This window comes from Homo sapiens, chromosome 7 (assembly GCF_000001405.40).
Source record: "Homo sapiens chromosome 7, GRCh38.p14 Primary Assembly".
In the NCBI taxonomy this organism is placed as follows: domain Eukaryota; kingdom Metazoa; phylum Chordata; class Mammalia; order Primates; family Hominidae; genus Homo; species Homo sapiens.
Genome location: NC_000007.14, coordinates 81,706,843 through 81,726,268, shown reverse-complemented (window position 1 = coordinate 81,726,268; position 19,426 = coordinate 81,706,843). Strand labels below are relative to the sequence as shown.

Below are 19,426 nucleotides of genomic sequence, written 5' to 3'. Positions count from 1 at the left end.
GTAATGTTTGGGTGAAACTCTAGGCCTGTGGAAGGAAAAAAATATTAACATATGACAGCATTTATTTCAGTAATTTGGGCAGAGTCAGTTATGTATACTGAATATTAAATTGTTATAGCTATTCTGAGTCCAAAAAGTTAGAACTCTATTTATAAACATGCATACATTCTAGAATTCTAGAAATGTAATAGCGCTGACTTCACCAACGTAAGAACTCCGGCAATTTACATTAACATGCTTATTCTCAATAGGGACCTACGAGAAAATTACTGCCGAAATCCAGATGGGTCTGAATCACCCTGGTGTTTTACCACTGATCCAAACATCCGAGTTGGCTACTGCTCCCAAATTCCAAACTGTGATATGTCACATGGACAAGGTAATAGCTGACATTCTGCAGGGTGGGCATGATTAAATTCAGGGGAAATGCCTAAAGGGAGGACACATTTTACAGCATAAGATCTACTTCTTGCTGCACTGGTTTTGCTGGCTTGCAAACAAAATCACCAAGTTTGAAGCTGGATTTTTCTTATGTTTATTCACTCAAGATTTATTTATTTAGCTGAGTGTATGCTACTGACAGCCACAGTTCTAAGCCTTGGAGATATACCAGTAAACAAAACTAAGCTATCTGACCCCCTGGAGCTAATATTCAACTGATAGAAAATAAGCAAAATAAAAATGAGAATGGGAATATTACAGTAGTTTGTCATAAGCAGTAGAGAGAAAAATGTCGCAGAGTTAGAAAAGAGGGGTGCTGCTCTTTTATATTTTAATGTTCAGGGAAGATCTTACTTGCTATAAGATCTTACTTGCTTAACATATAAGAAGGACCCAAGGGCAGTGAGGGAGCAGCATGTGCCATGCACATATATGTGTAAGAGTATTCTAGATAAAGAAAACTGCAAATGCAAATGGTGTGAGATGAGGGAGTTCTGGGAAAGTTAAATAAATAAGCACATCACTATAGCTAGTACAAAATAAGTAAGATGAAGAGTAGTAGGAGATGAGATTAGAGAGGCAATTGGGCTAAAATTGCATCAGCCTTTCAGGAATTGTTTGCCCTTTTGCTCTGAAAGAGAAAGGACTCTTAGGACTCTTCTCTGAAGGGAGAAATTACACAATCTGACTAAGTTTTAACTGGATCACTCTGGCTGCATTTCGGAAAATAGCTAGAATTCTTGACAAGGGTTAAAACAGGAGAACCAATGAAGTGGTTGTTTCAGTAATTCAGACTACAGATGGGAGTGACTTGACCCTGGTTGTTAGCAGTGTAGCTGCTGGATAATGGTGGGGTTTGAGGGAAATCACCATTGCATTTGGAAACATAGATGCCATTGAAGATAACTGCCTCAGGGAGCGGTAGTAAAATCAGATTGAAATAGATTTTTAAGTCAAAAAATAATAGATGATGGTGAGGTTGCTGAGAAAAGGAAATGCTTATATCCCCCTGTTGGGAATGTAAATTGATTCAGCCACATGGAGATTTCTCAAAAAACTTAAAACACAACTACCATTCAACACAGCAATCCCATTACTGGGTGTATACCCAAAGGAATATACATCATTCTACCATAAAGAAACATGCATGCATATGCATGCAAAATAATCTATGCACCCAACCCCGGTGACACACAATTTACATATAACAAACCTACCTATGTACCCATGAACGTAAAATAATTTTTTTAAAAGGTAGATTTTTCAAAGAAATAATTTGTTAAATATTAATAATAAAGTTGAATCCTGGGAATTACTGATGTATAGTAAATTGAGAGTTATCCTTTTTAAATGATCATGTTCTATTTCACATAGACTTAATTGTGATGGTCATGATCGTGGTTAGCCCTAAATCATCCTTGAAATCCCAAGCCAAATTTAAAGCTCCATCTCATAGACCTACTGCCCTAGGCATACTTCTATCCTTTAACTTTTTCCACAGTGTCATTCTTCACGAGCAACTCTGAAAATAGAGTTGTAGAGGGAAGAGGGGATGAGTCCCTTTTCAGTCAATTTCACTGTTCCTTTAAGGATCAGTTAGAAATAAAGTTGAAGCCAATGATTAAGGGAAGTTTGGTACCAGCTGAGTCTTCTGTGTTCCTGTCTCATTTACTTGAACATTTGTTAATAATTTGTGAGTGATAAAGGAAAACAATTATTTGATAAACCTTTGGTGTGTATTAAGATATTTTATATACATATACGTCACTTAAAAAGGATCAGGTAATAGAATATGAAAATTTTGGATTCTGGAGGGTAAACATGTTATTGCTTATCAGATCATTCATTCATAGGTGAAAATATTAGTTTTATGGAATTTAAGTAACTTGCCTAAATTCTCAAATACAGATATATCTACAGATAGATCTATCTACTTAGATCTAGGTATTTTTCTATAGATATAAATCTACACACACAGATATATATATATGTGTATATATATCTATATGTGTGTATATCTATCTATATATATATATGAAAGATGTTACTCTTATCCTTCTCCATAAAACAGAAAATATAAGTTCTACATATAGTTAGATGAGTGGAAACATTTTTCAAATCTTGCAACATCTGAATTAATATATATATAAATATTCTTCCAACTGGATATTAAAAACACTATTAAAGAAAAATGAAAACTGAAATTACAGAATTTCTTTAAAATGTTGATAAAACACTACATATTATATATACTATATATTGTATACTTAAGGCAGTAAACAATATAATTTAAATATTTATATCAATATCATAAAATGTATTTACAGTTATTTCAGTCTTAAAATATATTCTAATGAGAGTATATACAGTCAGAAAATTGTAACCAAAAATCATCTGGATTTTCTTGCTCTGTATTAATGGTATACATTTGATATATCCATAGGCATATTTCTGTCTTTATTTTCATCTTTCTGGATATTAGTTTTTGAATATTTAAAACCTTAACATTGGATAATAGTAAATACTATATGAAAGGGTAAATTCAGAGAAGTGTCCTCTTCTCTTGCTTCCATGCCATTCCATTTCTACTTTCTACTCACCATTGCAAGTAGACAATTTCATTAGTTTCTTGTTTATGGCTCTTGAGTATTTTCCATTCTTTACTTTTTTGGAATGTATGTGTAGGTTTGTTACATAGGTAAACTTGTGTTATGGGGGTTTGTTGTACAGACAATTTCATCGCCCGGGTACTAAGGCTAGTACCCATTAGTTATTTTTCCCAGCATAAAATCTTAACGTTGATGTAAATTTGCAGATGACCTTTCATAGTCAAATGTACAGTTTTCATTCATATAAAAATTAAGAATGTTAAATATAAAAAGTCACTTTAAAAACGTTCGGTATTATTTAAAAGTATAGAATATTTTTAAAAGTAGAATAATTCTTTTTAAATTTGCAATGCAACATATATATATATATATACCTTTTTAAATTTCTTTTTTTTTTTTTTTTTTGAGACAGAATCTCGCTCTGTCGCCCAGGCTGGATTGCAGTGGCATGATCTTGGCTCATTGCAACCTCTGCCTCTGGGGTTCAAGCAATTCTCCTGCCTCAGCCTCCTGAGTAGCTGGGATTACAGGCACACGCCACCACACCCAGCTAATTTTTTATATTTTTGGTAGAAATGGGGTTTCACCATGTTGACCAGGCTGGTCTTGAACTCCTGACCTCAAGTGATCCACCTGCCTCATCCTCCCAAAGTGCTGAGATTACAGGTGTGAGCCACCGCGCCTGACCAACTTATATTTTTTGAAGAACTTGATTTCTGACTACATTTCTTTTGATTAAAAATATGAACAATATGGCCGGGCGCAGTGGCTCATGCCTGTAATCCCAGCACTTTGGAAGTCCGAGGCGGGCGGATCACTTGAGGTCAGGAGTTTGAGACGAGTCTGGCCAACATGGTGAAACCCCATCTCTACTAAAAATATAAAAAATTAGCCAGGTGTGGTGATGCATGCCTGTAATCCCAGCTACACAGGAGGCTAAGGCAGGAGAACACAAATTGCTCAATTAAAAAAAGAGAAATAGAAAACCTCATGGAGCATAGTAAGAGACCCAGGAGTCAGTTTAAAGTGGCTTCCATTGGCCAAATTTGGAACAATTTGAGCATCAAAATGAATAACAGGAATAGATTATATATCATATTAAATAAAAAGAAAATCCACTGGTCAACATTTAATTTACTATTTCTACAGCTAGTGCTAGCACTTCTACTACTAATACCTAAATGAATGGGGTAAGGGAAAAGGAAAAATTTTTATTTACAGAAGAATGCTAACGAACAAATACAAAGAAATGTTAGAAATAGCAAAATAACCATTTTATCATCAGCATGACAATAAGTGGTTCATGCAAAATTCATTAACGTATGCCTAAGCTATTTTGTGAAAATTTGTTTGGCATTAGGATATTTATTCAGACTCAAAGGCCCCAACCGATTTTTTTGTTAAATACAGAGGAGTTTTTCCTTTGCACCACTTAACCAAGTGATCAAACACATCACCAGTGATGGAACAAAGTGACATCATGTGTCACAAGATGTTATGCTCTAAAAAGGACAAAGCATCACTGATGCAATATTCCTGTCAAATATCTTTAACTTGGTTTTATTCATGAGAAAATAAATCAAACAAAATGAACTTAAAGAGCATTTGTAAAACAGCTGACTTGGGTGACTCAGAATGTCAATGTCATAAAAGACAAAAATCAAAACATAAGGAATGTGACTAGGAGATGAATGTTCGTTATATTACTTTTCTATGGAATGAAATTTTTCAGAAGAAAATGTTGGGAAATACATGTGTTAGTCTAAAAATTCTTATTTCTTTGTTGTTCCAAAGGGCCACTCATTTAAATTATTTTGTTTTTAAATTATTATTTGTTATATTTGAATTTGCATAAGCCCTTATTTTGATGAAGATACTGGGCTTAAAATAAAGATTTTTTAATCTGAGATATTTGAGTATTTTTGATTTGTACAGATTTCAAGTACTTTAATTTTTTTTTTCTTTTTGTTTTGAGACGGAGTCTCGCTCTGTCGCCCAGGCTGGAGTGCAGTGGCGCCATCTCGGCTCACGGCAAGCTCCGCCTCCCGGGTTCACGCCATTCTCCTGCTTCAGCCTCTCGAGTAGCTGGGACTACAGGCGCCCACCACCACGCCTGGCTAATTTTTTGTATTTTTAAAGTAGAGACAGGGTTTCACCGTGTTAGCCAGGATGGTCTCGATCTCCTGACCTCGTGATGGGCCCGCCTTGGCCTCCCAAAGTGCTGGGATTACAGGCGTGAGCCACCGCACCCAGCCCTTTCAAGTACTTTAATTTTTATGTTGATTTCATGATTCCATATACTTGTAAAAAACCTTTTTGTTTTATCTGCCTTGATATTCATTGGACTTATTTCTGTATATTTTATGTCTAGATTGTTATCGTGGGAATGGCAAAAATTATATGGGCAACTTATCCCAAACAAGATCTGGACTAACATGTTCAATGTGGGACAAGAACATGGAAGACTTACATCGGTGTGTAAATTTCTTCCTTTCAATATATAGAATGTAGTGATACCAACAGACTGTGTATTTAGATATGTACATTGCTATTTCTTTCTATTCTTTTATATATCATGGTAAGCTAATAAAAGCATTAGATTGGTTTTTCTTTACAACTCATCATAACATTGTTTCTTTATGTAGCAAACTTTTAAATATGCAATTCAAGTTAGTGGATATTTATTGAGCATTTACTATGTGTTCTGTACTGTAATTGGTACCATGGGGAACATCAACAAAAAGTGGATAATGTTTTGGTTCCAACCTCCAAGGAGGATACGGTCACATTGACACAATAGTTACATAACTTAATAAGACAGTGTATAAGTAAGTGGCAAATCTGGTGTTTGAAATATTGCATGTTATGGGATTATTGTTTTCATATTTAATAATTGATAGTTTATGAAAAATCAATGAATAATCACTCATATAATTTAAATTTCTAAAATACTAAACCTTAACTATTAAAAATGTGTAATGACAGGTTTCCTTATGTAGCTTTGATACATAAAATTTTCCAGTAATTACAGGAATGTATATGTAGTTGAAAAAATCTACAAATTTTAGAGAATTACAGATTTTTACCATAGATATACTCATAGAGAAGGTAGCACCCACTCAACCCTAGCAATAGTGCTAGTGTTTACAAAATTGCAAAAGAAGTATGACACATAATTGTGACCTAAAGCAGATTTTTTCATAAACATCCCAGAGTATATGCACTAGAATAAAAGAAAAAACAAGTTACAGTCATTTGATCAAGTGCCTATAACATGGCTGCTTTACATGAGTTATGCCATTTGACCATCATAATCCTATAGGAAAGATTCATATGTGGATAGGAATTTAAGGGCTCAGAGAGATGGAGTGACTTTGCTTCAGTCTTTTAACTTTAAGTTCCTTATTCTCTTCCAAAATGTACTCAATAGTGGATTATATTGTTTCAGTTAATTTACTTCACACAAAAGGATAGTTCTAAAATAATGCTCTCCAATATAAAGACAATGCAGCTCACAAATGTAAGCGACATATGTTCTGTTAAATTCCTAGTAGCCACTTTTAAAGAGGTAAAAATAAACAGGCAAAATTAATTTTAATATATTTTATTTAATCCACTGTATCTACAGTTTTTCATTTCAATATGTATTTAATACAAAATAATTAAAAATATCTTTTACATTATATTCTCATGCTCCATATTCAAAATCTGGTGTCTGTTTACACTTACAGCGCCTGTCAATTTGGACTGAATCAATTTCTCAGTAGCCATATGTGGCCAGTGGCTACTATATTGACACTGGAGTTCTAGGACTTCAAAGAGCAGCAGACTTCTGTCCTTATAGATCTCCCACTCTAGTGTGGGATGCAAGCAAACAGGGAATGCCATATGAAAACTATGAAAGATAGCATATTTTATGCTATGGGAATGCAAAGAAGTGCCTACTCAGACGTAAGTGGTCAGGAAGGCTTCTTAAAGGAAGGGAAATTAGCTGGGATGTACATGATGAGTAGGAACTGGGCAAGGGAAGTAGAGGAGGAAGAGGACATTAGACACAAGAAATTGCATGTGCAAAGGCCAAAGCATTAGATTATTTGAATATAGGAAATAATTTTGGTAAGACTGAAAGAATGTAACTTGGTCAATGTCCACAGAGAAGGAATTCACAAAGTGGTAACACCATATAGAGAGTCTTGTAAGCTCAGTTAAGAAATCTAAATTTTATCCTGAGGATTAAAAGGATTTATTAAATAATTTTAAGTAAGAATTGGCATGATTAAAATAAATGCTAATTTCAGCACTGCTATTTTTTAAAGCATTTTTAGAAACATGCAGTGGTGGGTGGGGTGGATTGCTCTTATGGACTTGTGAGAGAGAATTGTTCTCATCGTCTTTCAAAAGTGTTGCCTTCAGTGATTTTACACTAGAAGGTTGAAATTTTCATGGTAGAAGTATTTACACTACAGAAATCAGCAACAACTTCAGACGAGGATTCCTCATCTTCATCCTCACCGTACACATACCTCAAAGTACCAGTTGGTAAACTTTTACCAGCATACCACTGAAAATATGTGATATATTTATTTAGAAACTATCAATGGGTCTCTAATAATACTTAATTCATCAAGTTTAGGTTTGACTTTTGGAAACAATTTGTAGGAAATTGATCAAGGATTAAGTCACATGGTACCATTTTGGCTTAAGGACAAACTTTGTAAGTAGGAGACAGAGCATGGCGGTTTTGAGCACTGACTCTTGAAATAGCCATGGGTTCAAACCCCAGCTCTAGTGTTTGCAAGTCATGTGACATTACACCAATTAGTTTTCCTCTCTGGATTTCAATTTCCACAAATGTAATATGGCATAACCTTAAAGACTATCTCATAAGATTGGTCTAAGGTTATATCTACAAAGAACCTACAACACAATGTGGCATGTAATAAGTACTATATGTGTTTACTGTTATTCTTGGTCCAGAAAAATGAAACTTGGTCTGGAAATATAGTCCAAGTTTCCATGTTCAAGCTTTTTAAAATTTTATTTAAAATGACACATTAATTATATTCAAGCATGGTAGCAATTAATAACTGGAAACAAGTTCAGTAAGATGAATAGTTTTAATGACTTTTATGATCAGTCAAAGTGGCCATGTAGAATTGACTTCATTCATGTTATTGAGGTAAATGTAAATATTGATGTTACATGAATGAAAATGGCCTTATAAAATAATTTACAGTAAATTTACAATCTTTGCTTTTCTTTTGTAATAAATTTAGTTAAGATGTGAATTAGAAATAAAGTATTGCTCGGTTATCTGTCAAAATAATATTTTGTAACTGATCAGTAAAATTTAGAATTTTAATTATTTAATTAACACATTATTCATTTCAGTATATCTTCTTGTACTCTGTCATAGTGATATGGCTAGTGATGCTTCATTTGTATCTAAAATGTAAAAAAATACTTGTATAATAGCTTGTATTTTTTATGTATTTTATAGTTTTAATCTTTGCCATCTGCTTGCTTTAGACAATGTTTTTCTTATTTCTATGCACAGAAGTATCATTACCATGCCACTGGGATTACCAAATAGAGGCAAAATCACAAAACCTAATATGCCAATTATGGAGCCCTCTTCCATATTTCCAAGTTAGAGAATCTGCTTCTAAAGTGTAGGAACAACAGTAGCAACCAAACAGACCTCAAACAAAATAGCTAAAATTCATCCCAAGTAAAAGGTTATGCTGTATCTACAGTGAAAGTAATGTGCTGAGATTATATCTTTTTGTAATATTTTGTGTCTCTTGGATGGAATGAGCATCTTGTGATGTGCAAGGCCTGTTGTTTCCACAGTCATATCTTCTGGGAACCAGATGCAAGTAAGCTGAATGAGAATTACTGCCGAAATCCAGATGATGATGCTCATGGACCCTGGTGCTACACGGGAAATCCACTCATTCCTTGGGATTATTGCCCTATTTCTCGTTGTAAGTACAGTTAGGGATTGGTGTCTTGTGAAATATTTTAAATGTACTACATTTCATCTAAAAGTTGTAAATAATATAGGTGGTCTGGCATTTATTCCCAAATGAGGAAGCTCTCCAGAGAGCAACACACACAAATGTACACAACACACACACAGACACACCACATGGTCTCTCTTTCTCTCTCTCCATCTCTCGTATAGATAAGAAGAAATTTTAACATTTTAATGGAGATTCTCTTCCCTCAGAAGATTTCCATTGGGATTCCGAAAGCATTAATTGGCCACAGTTCTAATATGACTGGGCTAGAAAGATCTCCCCACCCCCCAATACCAATACTACCTGTTCAGCTTCTGAATATAGCAGAGCTCTCAGCAAAGTTCCCAGCCCACTAAAAAGCCGTGAGCAGATCTGAACTAGTGGTACTTCTATTTCCTTCTCAGTTCTTTAATTTAAGACTAAAGAAGAGCCTGGAGTTTTCCACCCAGTTATCTGATTCCCAGATGGCTTTGTTAAAAAGATATTAGTGTATAAAGTAAAAGTTATATAAAAAACATGTAATACATGTTTGACATAGTTCATATAAAATACATGTCTGGTATAATTCATATTAAAAAGTCCCTAGATATCAGTAAGAAAAAGATGTGAGAATTCAGGAGAAAAAAGTAGAAAATAAATCTTCAAAAATATAGCTAATAAATAAATGAAAAGACATTAAAACATATTCGTAGGAAAAAAATGTTTAAGACATGAGAAGTCACTTCTACCTGTCAGGTTGGCAAATAAAATGATTGTAAATATCCAGTATTAGTGAGGACCTGGGTAATCAGTCTGTCTCAATTCTATGCTACTTACAGTGTGAATTCAAAATCCTGCTTGGAAGTTAGTTTGATAAAATGTATCAAAAGCAGTAATAATGTTGACATAGATCAGGATTTTTGGGCCTCCGCACACCCACATTTTGGGGTAGATGCTGTTCTGTGCATTGTAGCATGTTTAGTAGTATTCCTGGACTCTATCCACTAGATGCCAGTAGCATGACACCTGCCCCAAGTCGTGACAATCAAAACTATCTCTAGACATTGCCAATGTCCCCTGGAGGGCAAAATCATTTCCACTGGTAACCACTGATGTCTAGTAATACGTATTGAGATGGAAGTACGTCTTAAATATGTTATTGAGTGAAAAAGCCTTTTTATAAAGCTGTGTCAGTAGAAAGAGACCATTTTACTATACTATGTATCTGTAACTCTATGTTTACAACGAACATCCTTTACCACAATGTTAAACCACCTTCTCTTTAGAAAGGAAATACTTTTATAAGTTCGATAAAAACTTTGTTTTAAGAATGTTTTTCTTGTGAGACAAGCTAGTAGTAGCAAGTACCTTGAGAACAGCAGCAAAAATATCTACTCTAAAAAGAGATTAAATTGAAGAAATAATAATGTTGCTTTTAAAAAATGAAATACAACAGAAGTCTGTGTTTTTCTAGAATTTATGTCAAATTAAAGAGGTAAATTTCACCTTAAATGGAAACAGCAGTCATGTTTTATGAAATTCTAGCATTAAAGGCAAACTTTTAAAATATGATGTTAATCAAGTCTACCTATAATTAAGACTTGGAGCTGCTCCATCTATTTTTAATAGGTTGGGAAACTCTGTATAATAATAAATAACTAAATATATTATATGTTTGCAAATAAATGGCATTTCTAATAAGTTTATTTTCATTTTATCAGCCATGATCATAGCCTTTCAAATTAATTTGTTTTCCTAATGTTCTTCACTTTTCCCATATTAAGGTTGGCATAGGCTCAATGTTAATACTAAAAGAAACACACCTACTTTTTCAGAGAATGCCATACAAAAATATTTAAAAATTATTAAAAGATTATTATTTTTCTAAGTACAGTTTTATAGCACTATGTTTTTGTTAAGTCTCTATGGTTAAGACTAATGGAGGCTCATAGAATATATAATGGTGTAGGAAGAAGGAAAAAGGCAATTATCTGCCTTCTAAAACAAGTTATTTTGCTTCCTCTACAGATTTCCAGATTTTTAAAAATCACAGCAGCTCTATCTAGCACATATGCATGGTTAAGAGTGAAATGCCCTATAGTATCTCAAGGCACTGTGATTTCATTTATAATCACAAACCAAGGGAGCCAGGACTCTAATAATTTACAAGTTTTCAAAAAATTTTTTCAACTAATATTTTTAAACTAAAAGTAATGTGCTGTTGAAAGACTTGAGGGGGTTACTAGTATTTGATTAAATACTATTGCAGATAAATCATTTTATTTCAATGTATACCACAAATTAATTTTAATAAAGATTTTTACAGTGTCATTTTTCTAACTAATATTTATAGCCAGGATTTGTTTACATTTTCTCCCTGGTGAAAGGGTGATAATATTTATCTTTAGAAGATTTGAGTTCTTATTATTTATATAACTGCAGAGACTGTATAAATCATTTTCACACTGTAAAATTCTTTTACAAAACATGTAAAGGTTTTTATTCTTTTTTTTAACATGCTTACAAAATAATATTTTACATATTTTTAAGTTTATCAAATATGCAAACATAAAAATGTAGAGGTGCCTATATGATTGAGTATACACAGACACAGTTAGTATACTATTTTAGAAAAATCTTAACTACCAAGAGCGTAGTGGTTAAGAACTTCAATCCAGACTTCCTAAGAATGCCAGACCCATCACTTTTAAGTACCTTGGGCAAGTTACCAAACCCACTTAGGACTCATATTTGTATTTGCAATATTTTATAATAAAAGTACCTATTATATGGGACTATTGTGAACAGTGTCTGTTGCATAGTAAAGAGTCAAAACCTTAACTTCCATCTCTGTTTTTATTTGTTCATTCATTATTGTTAATTGAGCTGCTATTGTGTACAAAGCCATATATAACATACTATGTTTATAAAAATACAAACACTTCTTCTTAATTTTAAATAGTTCATAGTATAGAAGGGAGACATTTATGGAAATAATTACAAAGCAATATAATCATGTAATATGTATATATTAACAATATATAAAATGAGAATGTGAACATCGATTTCTTCATGGAGAAATACATGATGTTCGTAAACTTTTGAAATTGAGTTAAAGCTTTAAGAAGAGTGGGAGAAAGTTTTCTTTATGTTTTCAGAAAAAGTCCATGTTTGGTTCTGAGGCCATACACACACACACACACACACACACACACACACACACACACGCACACACACCCCTACCCTTCCGTAGGTAAAACTTTTATCATTGACATGTTTTCTTTCTTCAAATTTAAGTTGAACCAATAAAAAATAAGTATTGTATCACATATATTTTTGTAGACATGAGTCTGAAAGTAGTGTGGTATAGATAGTGTAGTATAGACAGTGGTGAAAGTAAAGGAAGAAAAGTGAGAATAGTATTTGGCAGTGAAATGGAAAAGGCATAGAAAGTAGTTTTTCAAGTTTTACTCCAGGCATGCAACAGAAGAACCTAGGATGCTTGTTAAATGGATGCATCCGGCCACCAACCCAGAATCCCCAGAAATTTAATTTTAAAACGTATTTCAGTTTATGCTAAAGTGTGAGAAATACTGGATTAGAGAAAGCAAAACATATACATTACTATTAATTATTAAAACCCAAAATGTATAGTGTCTACAAATTTTTTTTTTTTTTTGAGACAGAGTATCACACTGCTGCCCACACTGTTGCCCAGGCTGGAGTGCAGTGGAGCAATTTCGGCTCACTGCAAACTCTGCCTCCCAGGTTTAAGCGATTCTCCTGCCTCAGCCTCCCAAGGAGCTGGGATTACAGGTGTCTGCCACCACACCTGGCTGATTTTTTGTATTTTTAGTAGATCCAGGTTTTCACTGTGTTGGCCAGACTGGTCTTGAACTCCTGACCTTGTGATCCATCCGCCTCGGCCTCCCAGAATGCTGGGATTACAGGCAGGCACGAGCCACCACGCAAGGCCATATCTACAAATTTTTAAAACTAAATATATTGTAAGATACAAGAGTTAACTAAGCATTTTGTTGACCTATTAGCTTAATGCTTAGAAATAAGAGACTTAATATACAAGATAGAACAAATAACCAGTCTTTCTCCTCACAAAATAAGAAATAAATATCTACTTATTTAACATTTTCAAGTATTTGACTTACGTGGAAAACCAATATCCTTGAAGTTTTGTTACCATAGTCCGCCTCAATCTTAACTCATACTTAATGAACTAAAACTCTGACCTCAGCTGACTGACAAACCCTCCTCTAGGATAAGCTACAGGGAAAGAGAAATGATGAATTTTGTATGTTTACCATTAACCTATTCATTTAAAATATCTAGATCTGAAAAATGAACTTAAATAAGTATATATTAATTCTCACAACTATCCTCATAAATAACAATCACATTGGCATCTATTACAAAGGAATCCATATACATTATTGGTTTGTTGCTGGCTTATTTGAGCTCAGGGCATTTCCAGGGATTGACAACCATCTGGGTCTAAACAGTGCCTGACTGAACTCTATGCCATCAATTCTGAATAGTCACACATTAAGCTCCAGGAAATGTCTTGTGTCTCATTCATTACAGCATAAGTATTTCAAAATCCTTGCATCTTCCAAGACTTTCTCTTATTTGTGGCAATTAAGCCCCAGTAGAGATGAAAAAGTAGTAAGCTACAGGTTTTAATTAGAATTAATTTGTAGTTTTCAGTGTTCTCTTTTTTCCATATTTTTTTACTCGCATCTGGAAAAATCAACCCTTGAAATATTCAAGCAACAAAGCATAATTATATTGTATTATTCCTCTTTTTCCATTAGTGACATTGATATCTATCTTCTAGAATCCTTGCAGAGATTTATGAAGTTGGTGTAGTTGCAATTATCTTTAACCATATAAAACTAAAAGTTTTCAGAAAAAAAATTAAATGATTCAAATTACAGAAGCAAATGGCCTATCAATATGAAGAGTCCAAGTAGACAATAATGAACACGAGTGCTATTCAATGGAATGTTCATGGTGTAGGATGTTGGACATCTTGGTGGATCGAGGCAGCTCCTTGATGAAGGCAATGTAATTCAAATGGCCAATGATCATCAAAACACACACCTGAGAGCCTCCACAGTCATAAAATAGGGCTCTGCTCATATCACCTAGTACCAGAGGGCATATACTTACAATATTATCCAGTAAACGTGATGTATAATTACTCAAAAGAGTTTACATTTTATCTCTGAATAAAATGTCAAGAATTTCAGTAAATTGGCCAGGTGTGGTGGCTCATGCCTATAATCCTAGCACTTTGGGAGGCTGAGGCAGGTGGATCATTTGAGGTCAGGAGTTTGAGACCAGCCTGGCCCACATGGCGAAATCCCGTCTCTACTAAAAATACAAAAAGTAGCTGGGTGTGGTGGTGTGTGCCTGTGGTTCCAGCTACTTGGGAGGCTGAGTCAGGAGAATCGCTTGAACCTGAGAGGGGGAGGTTGCAGTGAGCTGAGATAGCACCACTGGACTCCAGCCTGGGTGACAGAATGAGACTCTGTCTCAAAACAAAACAAAACAACAACAACAAAAATTTTAGTAAATTACTGAATTCATTGATACTTGGATTTTAATATATATTTGGTTTTATATAACAGATATATGCATATATGAATTGTGTATTTATCTATACATTTATTTTTACAGGTGAAGGTGATACCACACCTACAATAGTCAATTTAGACCGTAAGTAATATTTCACAATATAAAGTATATTCTGAGTCTCTCTCTGTGTGTCAGAAGTGTCATTATTTCTTTCAAAGAAAATTATCTATATTAGCTTCCATTATAAAAAGAAGTTAATCTATTTATTTTTACTTTTTAAAATATATTTTTCTATGCATAGGTGTAAAGGAGTTTCAAAGGCAACTGCATACTGAATATAAAAATTCAATTCTCTTGCAAAAAATCTATAAGATGGTATATGTGATTTCGAAAAGAGTGTTTATATTTACTTTTAATTTGGGGCACAATGCGTATAATGGACCACCTTTATATATACCATGATTTAATAAAATTAGGATGCTGAATTCAGGAGAATGAAACCTGAAAGTTGGAAAGTTATTCAGTGCCTCTATTCTACTCTATTTGTAAACTTCTCTGCATGCCCTACAGTCAAGTGGGCACAAGATGACACAGTCTATGATATTCAGTTAATCCTCAGTTTAAGAATCTGTTGGGGGCCACTTGTATTTTATTTTCACATATCTCTTGAGCTGAAGGAAGTTACTCAAGTGTTTTTGATTTAGAATACCACCTGCTGTGCCCCAGGCTCAGGAAGCAAATGGATATCTATTCTAGACCATGGGCAGAAGTAGAGGGGATAAGGCGAGGAGCACAGAGGAGGGTCAGGAAAACATTTACTCCAATAAATTTTATATTATGTCTTTGGACATAATGATTTGAAAATAATAATTATATCATTTGGATATGATTTCAATAAATCAAATGTTGGTAAGACATATTGAATAAATCTACAATCTAACTGTACAAATTCAGAAGTAATATCCAAGTAAAGCTTGGTTTTGTTTTTTTCACTGAATCTATTGATTTCTACTGACCATTAGAAATAACCATTGTAAATAACTTTGGTTTATTTTATGTTGAGGGTGGTGAGGGATTAGACCTGAGGAGCTTGGTCTTAGTGTATTGTGAGCAAAGCCATTGTCACTCTCATGGCAATCCTGTCTGCTTTGAGTTTATTTGTTTTTCTGAGTTACTCAACTTCTTAGATGAAGATGGCAAGTGTTAAGGACTTAATATAATGCTGCGGTCATATTAAACTTCTCTTTCACCAAACTGTTCTTTGGACACAATAAGAATAGTTACATTTGTGTAATTATCATTGCATTTAAGAAAACTAAGAGGCACTGATTATTTCAAATTCTTATTTTAAAAAATGTTATGTTTGGTCCTGTTTCAGATCCCGTAATATCTTGTGCCAAAACGAAACAATTGCGAGTTGTAAATGGGATTCCAACACGAACAAACATAGGATGGATGGTTAGTTTGAGATACAGGTAATTATTAATAGATGCAAGTCATGCATATCCAGAATATGTACAAGAGAGTCCTATTCCCAGAAATATGGACACATGTGGTCCTGAAGGTTGTACCCTCCACAGGGCACCTGGGTGAGGCAGTAAAAGAGGAAGCTGATCACATCTGCTTGCCAGACTGTAAGCTCTGGACTATAATTTGTGCCTCCAGAGGTAGTGCCTTTTTAAATCTTCACAAAGGTCCCATATGTGTTGGCAATGTCCCTGATTCTAAGAGACACTTTGGTTCCGATTAAGCAAAATACGGAGGACCTATTGAAACCTTAATATTACCATAGTAGTTATGATACTTGTTATTAAATTTCCAATCTAGGATATTATGGGTTTATTTTCTAATATGTTTATGCATGATCATGTCAAAACATTTATATTTGTTTTTAATTTCTGACTTTTTCCTTGTCAATCAAATGAAAAATGGTAATTTTAAATTCTAGAGCATTTTATCTTTACAAAAAGGCCAATAGTTAAATAGTCTTGATATTATAATAATCAGTGGGGATACAAAATTCTTGACATGTCTATTTCTCAATGCTCTTAAGAATCAATGACATATTCTACATAAAATCACTTTGCAAATCATATTGTTAGAGAAAATTATGCTTAATAATTATGTCATAAGAATTAAATACTGAAAATATAAGTTAACTTAAAATCTGATCTTACAACTTTCATATACTACATATATTATTCTGTATGTTAATTGGAATGCTAAAATATTTATGTCTTTGGCTATCTCTATCAGAACCTTACCATGCAACACACCCCAAGATACATTGAATTTGAACCACATTGTCTCTTGTTTTCTAGATACCTCACGTTTCTTCCTCTAAGCCTTTATGCTGTTGTTCCCACAACACACTGTGGCTTTCTTCCTCCATGTTTTATGCCTGAAAATTCCTTCTCCTTCAAATTTCAACCTAAATATCCCCTCTTTTAGAATACCCTCCTGTTCCCTTACCGCTAGCCTCCTAGAGTAGAGAAAAAGAATGTCTGTTACTATTATTAAATCACAGTGACATTAGAATAGAGACAACTTGAAACAGAAGTCCTTTTATGAATAAACCAATTATTGGAAAGCAAGAGTTTATATAATTTGATATATATGACTTTAGATGACCACAATGTTGTAGGAGATGGCCTAAAGTTCTTTTTTTAGTATACCCTTTTCTCAAGGAATGGCTTATCAGATTTTATAAATATTTATGCCAATAATTGTAGTATAGCTGTCCTAGGTGTGTAGTACTAAAATAGAATTGTGAAACTAACCAGAATATTAAAGCTGAGTGTGCAGTATGAGGATTTAGTAAAGACTTTAGAATTCTGTTGGAGTGTTTAATTTTCTTAATTATAGAAAATCTTTCAAGAGGCTGGGTGTGGTGGCTCACACCTGTAATCCCAGCAGTTTGGGAGGCTGAGGCAGGTGTATCACTTGAGGTCAGGAGTTCAAGAGCAGCCTGGCCAACGTGGTAAAACCCATCTCTACTAAAAATACAAAAATTAGCCGGGCATGGTGGCACATGCCTGTAATCCCAGCTACTGAGCGAGACTCTGTCTCAAAAAAAAAAAAAAAAAAAAAAAAAAAAGAAGGAAGGAAGGAGAAATCTTTCAATAATCCACATTTGAGTTAATTGGTGATTCTTTGCTTATCTTATAACCCCAGAGGATAAAAGAAGACATATATTAATACTTCTAAGTTATTTTTTCCAGTAAGAGAATTCACAAGGATACTGCTTTGGTCATCTCCATTGTTGGAAAAGCAGGTGAAGCTATTTTTCCATCAGATTAGAGTACTGTAAATTTTTAGTTTTTTTCCTTTTTAAATCCAAGTTCTTAGCAACAACAGCTGCTTAGTTATTCTTCCAAAACTCATACTGAAAAGGATAGAAATTAAAAGTCAATATATATTCTTATCCTCCTGTGTGGTAAAGGCCATAAATAACTGTGGTCTCAGTCTGGGAATCTTCTAGTATTACCCTCTGAAGCACTGAACATCTGTACTCTTTGGAAATGTAAATTATGAAAAGTTGTGCTTTTTCCATGTCTCTGCCAAAAAAAATGGATTTACAGATTTTGGATATCATCAAAAAAATGTACTAGTACTCATCATACTCTGCAAATATTTTACAATTTCCTAAATGATTTGCCTTGCAAAATTGTTTTACTTTAGAGATGAAATATTATATTCCTGATCTTATACTGGACAAAGTAATTTATTCAGATTCAGTTACATTTTATGTTAATATATCAAAACTACATAATGGTAGTAGAAGAAGGAAATAGTGCACGAATAAAATTGCTACCACTAGATGGTTTTCAGGGTTCAAACAAGAACTCAACTTTGCATTTTTAATAAGCAAACACTGAATTTAAAATAGATTCACATTTTTAAGAAATTATAATTATCCTATATTTGTAGCACATACGTTCCTCACAAGGATAGATGCACATACACACGAATATGTGTGTTCGGGATGGCTATTGATGTGTAATAACTTTAGACTACACAAAAGTCAAATTGATTTCATAAATTTATAGTCACATTATGAAAAAAAAGCTAACGCTACAATCACCAAATATCACCCTTCAGATAAAAGAACTTCTCATTTTATTCCAGTTGGGTTAATTTCTATATTTTCCTCTGCAGTGTATTTATTTTTAACAAATGGAGCCACAGGCTTTGCATTAATTGGCAGTCACTCTTTCTGCACAGATGTTACTTGTTTCTCTTTCCTCTTTTTCACAGAAATAAACATATCTGCGGAGGATCATTGATAAAGGAGAGTTGGGTTCTTACTGCACGACAGTGTTTCCCTTCTCGGTAAAGTGTTTTTAAAACTAGTATTATTTTGAGCCTTTAAAATGTGTATGTCTTCCACTTTGCTCTTAAGGTTATAATATGTATTCATTTTACAGAGATTCACAAATGGGGTGAACAAATTATTTCATTTTTAGAATTTGGCTTACAAAACTTACTTTGACTTCACAGATATTTACAAGACACTACTTCAGTTCACCTCTTTTCACAATTAGTGTTACCCTCAGTTGGGGAAAATTTTGCTAGAATTATGTAAATGTTTTATATCCCAACTTTCTACTTGTACCCTGTATTTCTAGATATAATTCTTTTTTTTTTCTAAATTGTCAATAGGCTTTTTTCAGTCCTCACTACTTCTTTCTCCTGTAGAGTCAGCCTCAGGATCATCCTGGGCATAATTTTCAATGAAAATTAGCCTAAGGAAAAGATAAAGAGGCAGCATTTGTAAAC

At 33.7% G+C, this 19,426-nt stretch overlaps 1 protein-coding gene across 2 annotated transcripts in view; it reads left to right on the top strand.

Moving 5' to 3' along the window:
* The window catches only part of HGF (hepatocyte growth factor), a 71,038-nt gene that overhangs the window by 43,779 nt on the left and 7,833 nt on the right, over positions 1-19,426 (top strand). For both annotated transcript variants that reach the window (NM_001010932.3, NM_000601.6), the window contains exons 9-14: positions 252-379; positions 5,422-5,524; positions 8,904-9,037; positions 14,750-14,788; positions 16,026-16,122; positions 18,905-18,979. In NM_001010932.3, the coding sequence (NP_001010932.1) occupies positions 252-379; positions 5,422-5,524; positions 8,904-9,037; positions 14,750-14,788; positions 16,026-16,122; positions 18,905-18,979 (576 nt within the window). The remainder of the gene's footprint in view (positions 1-251; positions 380-5,421; positions 5,525-8,903; positions 9,038-14,749; positions 14,789-16,025; positions 16,123-18,904; positions 18,980-19,426) is intronic.